This window comes from Homo sapiens, chromosome 3, assembly GCF_000001405.40.
Source record: "Homo sapiens chromosome 3, GRCh38.p14 Primary Assembly".
Lineage (NCBI taxonomy): Eukaryota > Metazoa > Chordata > Mammalia > Primates > Hominidae > Homo > Homo sapiens.
Genome location: NC_000003.12, coordinates 23,151,190 through 23,156,021, shown reverse-complemented (window position 1 = coordinate 23,156,021; position 4,832 = coordinate 23,151,190).

The following is a 4,832-nucleotide window of genomic DNA, read 5'->3' as shown; positions in this document are numbered from 1 at the left end:
CTTGTGAATAGTGCTGCAATAAACATGGGGGTACAGATGTTTCTTTGGTATAATTGTTTCCTTTCCTTTGGATAAATTCCCAGTAGTCGGATTGCTGAATCATATAGTAGCTCTATTTGTAGTTTTTTGAGGAGCCTCCATACTGTTTTCCATAGTGGCTGTGGTAGTTTACATTCCTACTGACAGTGTGTAAGAGTTCCCTTTTCTCTGCATCCTTGCCAGCATTAGTTATTTTTTGTCTTTTTGATAAATAGCCATCCTAACTGGGGTGAGATGATACCTCACTGTGGTTTTGATTTCCCTGACAATTAACGATATTGATAATTTTTTCATGTATTTGTTGACTATCTGTATGTCTTCTGAGAAGTGTCTGTTCAGATCATTTGCCCATTTTTTTTAGTTGGATTGTTTGTTTTTGCTGTTGATGTTTGAGTTCCTTATATATTTTGGATATTAATCCCCTATAGGATGAGTAGTTTGCAAATATTTTCTCCAGTTCTCTGGGTTGTCTTTGCTGTGCAGAAGCTTTTTAGTTTGCTATAATCCTATTTGTTTATTTTTGCTTTTGTTGCCTATGCTTTTGAGGTCTTATTCATAAAATCTTTTCCCAGACCAAGGTCTTAAAACATTTCTTCTATGTTTTCTTCTAGTAGTTTTATCATTTTGGGTCTTATCCTTAGGTGGTTGATCCATTTTGAGTCGGTTTTTATATAGAGGAAGGGCAGGTCTAGTTTCATTCTTCTGCATACAGATATCCAATTTTCCAAGCACCATTTCACCTTTGTAAAAAAATCAGTTGGCTGTAGATACTTGGATTAATTTCTGCGTTCTCTATTCTGTCCCATTAGTCTATGTGTCTTGTTTTATGCCAGTACCATGCTGTTTTGGTTACTACAGCTTTGTAGTATACTTTGAAGTCTGGTAGTGTGACACTGCCGGCTTTATTTTTTTGGATTACTTTGGCTATTCTGGGTCTTTTGTGGGTTGACATAAATTTTAGCATTTTTTTCTGTTTCTGTGAAGATGTCATTGGTATTTTGATAGGAATTACATTCAATTGCTTTGTGTAGTATTGCCATTTTAACAATATTTATTCTTCCAATTCATGAGCATATGATGTCTTTCCATTTGACTTTTAGCCTCTTCAGTTTCTTTCATCAGTATTTTGTAGTTTCCCTTGTAGAGGTTTTTACCTCCTTGGTTAAATGTATTCCTAGGTAACTTATAAATGAAATTGCCATCTTGATTTCCTTTTCAGATAGTCTGTTGTTTATATATAGAAATGCTACCTTTTTTTTTTTTTTTTTTTTTTTGAGACAGAGTCTCACTCTGTTGCCCAGGGTGGAGTGCAGTAATATGGTCATAGCTCACTGCAGTCTCCACCTCCTGGGCTCAAACAATCCTCCACTTCAGCCTCCTGAGTAGCTGGGACTACAGGTGTGCACCACCACACCTGGCTAATTTTTGTATTCTTTGTAGAGACAGGATTTCATCATGTTGCCCAGGCTGGTCTCAAACTCCTGGGCTCAAGTGATCTGTCTGCCGTGGCCTGACAAAGTGCTGGGATTATAGGTGTGAACCCCTGCACCTGGCCAGGAAGCTTTTAAAGTAGCAATATCTCAAATCTATAACAAATTTATTTCCTTTAAAATGAAACAATATAAAAACTGAACAACAAGGCCTGAAGTTGTTCTGTGCAAGCCAATCATTGGAATCAATCAGGTCAAAACAACCTCACCTCATTGAAAGAAAATATAGCTGATGTATTGTTTGAATATGTTCTCCAAAGTTCATGTGTTGGATATGTAATCTTCAATGCAGCAGTTTTGGGAAGTGGGGCCTCATAAAGGAAGATTAGGTTGTGAGGCATATATATATATATATATATATATATATCATATATAATCATATATATAACATATATAGCATATATATAACATATGTATGATATATGTCATATATAACATATGTATGATATATGTCGTATATAACATATGTATGATATATGTCGTATATAACATATGTATGATATATGTCGTATATAACATATGTATGATATATGTCATATATAACATATATGGGGTTGCCTTTGTTGTGCAGAAGCTTTTTAGTTTGCTATAATTCTATTTGTTTATTTTTGCTTTTATATATATCATATATATAACATATATATGTTATCTTATTTTCCCTTATTTTTTTTGTAGAGCATTCTGTATTGCATTTTACTTGTAAACATTATTTTTGCTTCAAAATATCTCCTGGGAATAAATTTATATCATCAGTTCATAGAGGTTGTCCTCATTCTTTTAATAGCTTCATGGTACTCCATTGTGACAATATGTCACAGTTTATTCAACCAATATTCTATGCTTGGGCATTTATGTAGTTTCCAATATTTTGCAATTAGAAATAATGCTGCAATGAGTAAACTTGAGCATCTGTATTTTTATAGTATTGGAGATGTGTCTTCAGGATAAATTCCTGGAAGTGGGATTTAATATGTATTTTTGTTAAACATTGCCAAATTTGCCTCCCTGTGGGAATTCTTCATTTTGCATTCCCACCAGCAATGTTTGAACACGACTGTTTCTTCACAGCTTCACCAATAGTAAGCTTTCTAATGTTTGCTTATCTAATTGATGAGAAATGATATCTCACTATAGTTTTAATTTGCACATATTTTATTGTGAGTAATTGCTATAGACTGAGACTGAATGTTTGTGTCCTACCTCCCACTCCTAACATTCATCTGTTGAAATCCTAACCCTCAATGTGATAGTGTTAGGAGGTGGGGCCTTTGAGAGGTGATTAGGTCATTTGGTTATGAATGAGTAGAGCTCTCATGACTGGGATTAGTACTTTTATAAAAGAGGCTGGAAAGAGCTCCCTCATCCCTTCTACCATGTGAGGACACAGAAAGAAGACAGTTATGAACCAAAAGAAGGCCATCACCAGACATCAAATCTGCTAGTGCTTTGATCTTGGACTTCCCCTGGCTCCAGAATTGTGAGAAATAAGTTTCTGTTGTTTATAAGGCACTCAGTCTATATAGTCTGTTATAGCAGCCTGAATAGACTGGAACAGTAGTAGTATACTATTGCATAAGGGCCATTTTTATATTCCAGATTTTTTCTGTTTATATTTTTCTCTGTTTTTAAGATTTTTGGTCTTTCCTGCCTCAATTTTTTTTTTTTTTTTTTTTTTTTTTTTTTTTTTGAGACAGAGTCTCACCCTGTTGCCCAGGCTGGAGTGCAGTGGCATGATCTCGGCTCACTGCAACCTCCACCTTGCGGGTTCAAGCCATTCTTGTGCCTCCCAAGTAGCTGGGATTACAGGCACATGCTACCACTCCTCGCTAATTTTTTGTATTTTTAGTAGAGACGGGGTTTCACCACGTTAGCTAGGATGATCTTGATCTCCTGACCTCGTGATCTGCCTGCCTCGGCCTCCCAAAGTGCTGGGGTTATAGGCATAAGCCACTGCGCCCAGCCTTCTGCCTCAATTTTAAAGCATTTTTTTGTATATTAGGTTATTTAGCTCCTTGTCTATGACATATGTTGCAAGTGTTTTCTGTCAGTTTGCCGCTTGTCTTTTGGTGGTGTGTGGTTTTTGTTTTCACCATGCAAACATTCTCTGTTTTTATATAGTCAAATTTATCAGATTCCCCTTATATTGCATCTAGGTTTTTAATTTTAAAAGCCTTTCCCTATGCCTGAGTTAAAGAGGAATTTGCTTAAATGTTTCTCTAGTATTTATATATTTTTTACATTGAAATCTCAAATCCATGTAGAGTTTATGCTTGTTTATGGTGTGAGGAATTAATCTATTTTTATTTATTTTTTTCCCTAAATGGTCATCCAATTATCACAACACAATTTATGAAAAAGACTAATTTTTTCTCACATATAACACTTTGATCATATGCTAGATTTGTACATTTAATTGGGCATATATCTGGATTTACTGTTTTATTCTACTGGTATGCCAATCTACTTATATACTAGTACTACACTGTTTTAATTATCTAGGTTTTGTAGAATGCTTTAATGGCAGGTAGAGCAGTGCCTCCTCATAGCTTTTTCTTTTCAATGTCCTCTGCCTATTTTTACATGTTTTTTTTTTTAACTCCCATGTGAATTTTAGGATCAATTTGTTTAGCTCAATAAAATAACTTCCTGGCATTTTACTGACCTCTCATTAAATTGATAAGTTCATTTAGAACTGGCATATTGATGTCCTAACCAAGAACAAGGGATGCCTTTGTATTTGTTCAAGACTCTTTTTGGACAACCCACTCTTAATCAAAGTGAATAATGATGTTAGGTAATCATTAATTTTTCCTGGTATGCTTTAATTTAAAATATCTGATGGAATAAATAAGACATTTAAGTGGCTGTGGGAAGGGAACATCACACTTTTGAATAACTTTTAGGTGCCATTTACTGTGCAAAGTGTTTAATTCCCAAAGAATCAAGAAATTATTGATTTTGCTTTGTGTATATTGTCGATGGGTGTACTCTTTCACAAAGTTTCTGTAACTTCTCTGAGAACAGTCAATGAATATCAAGAATGAGATTCAGACCCTGTACCGTGTGCCCTTTAAGTTCACTACCTACTAAAAACCAACACGGTGTTATTCCTCAGGTGAAAAAGAAAATTTGAAAATATACACTGTCTTCTTTGATTTTTAGAACTACTGGGAAGTCAATAAGGTATACATGGACTATTTGTAGTCTAGTTTTGCTGATAAGGAAATTGAGGCTCTAGAGAGGTTAAGTGTTCCAAGATTATGGTTAATAAGTGTCAGAGGTGATTCTAGATTATATGACCAC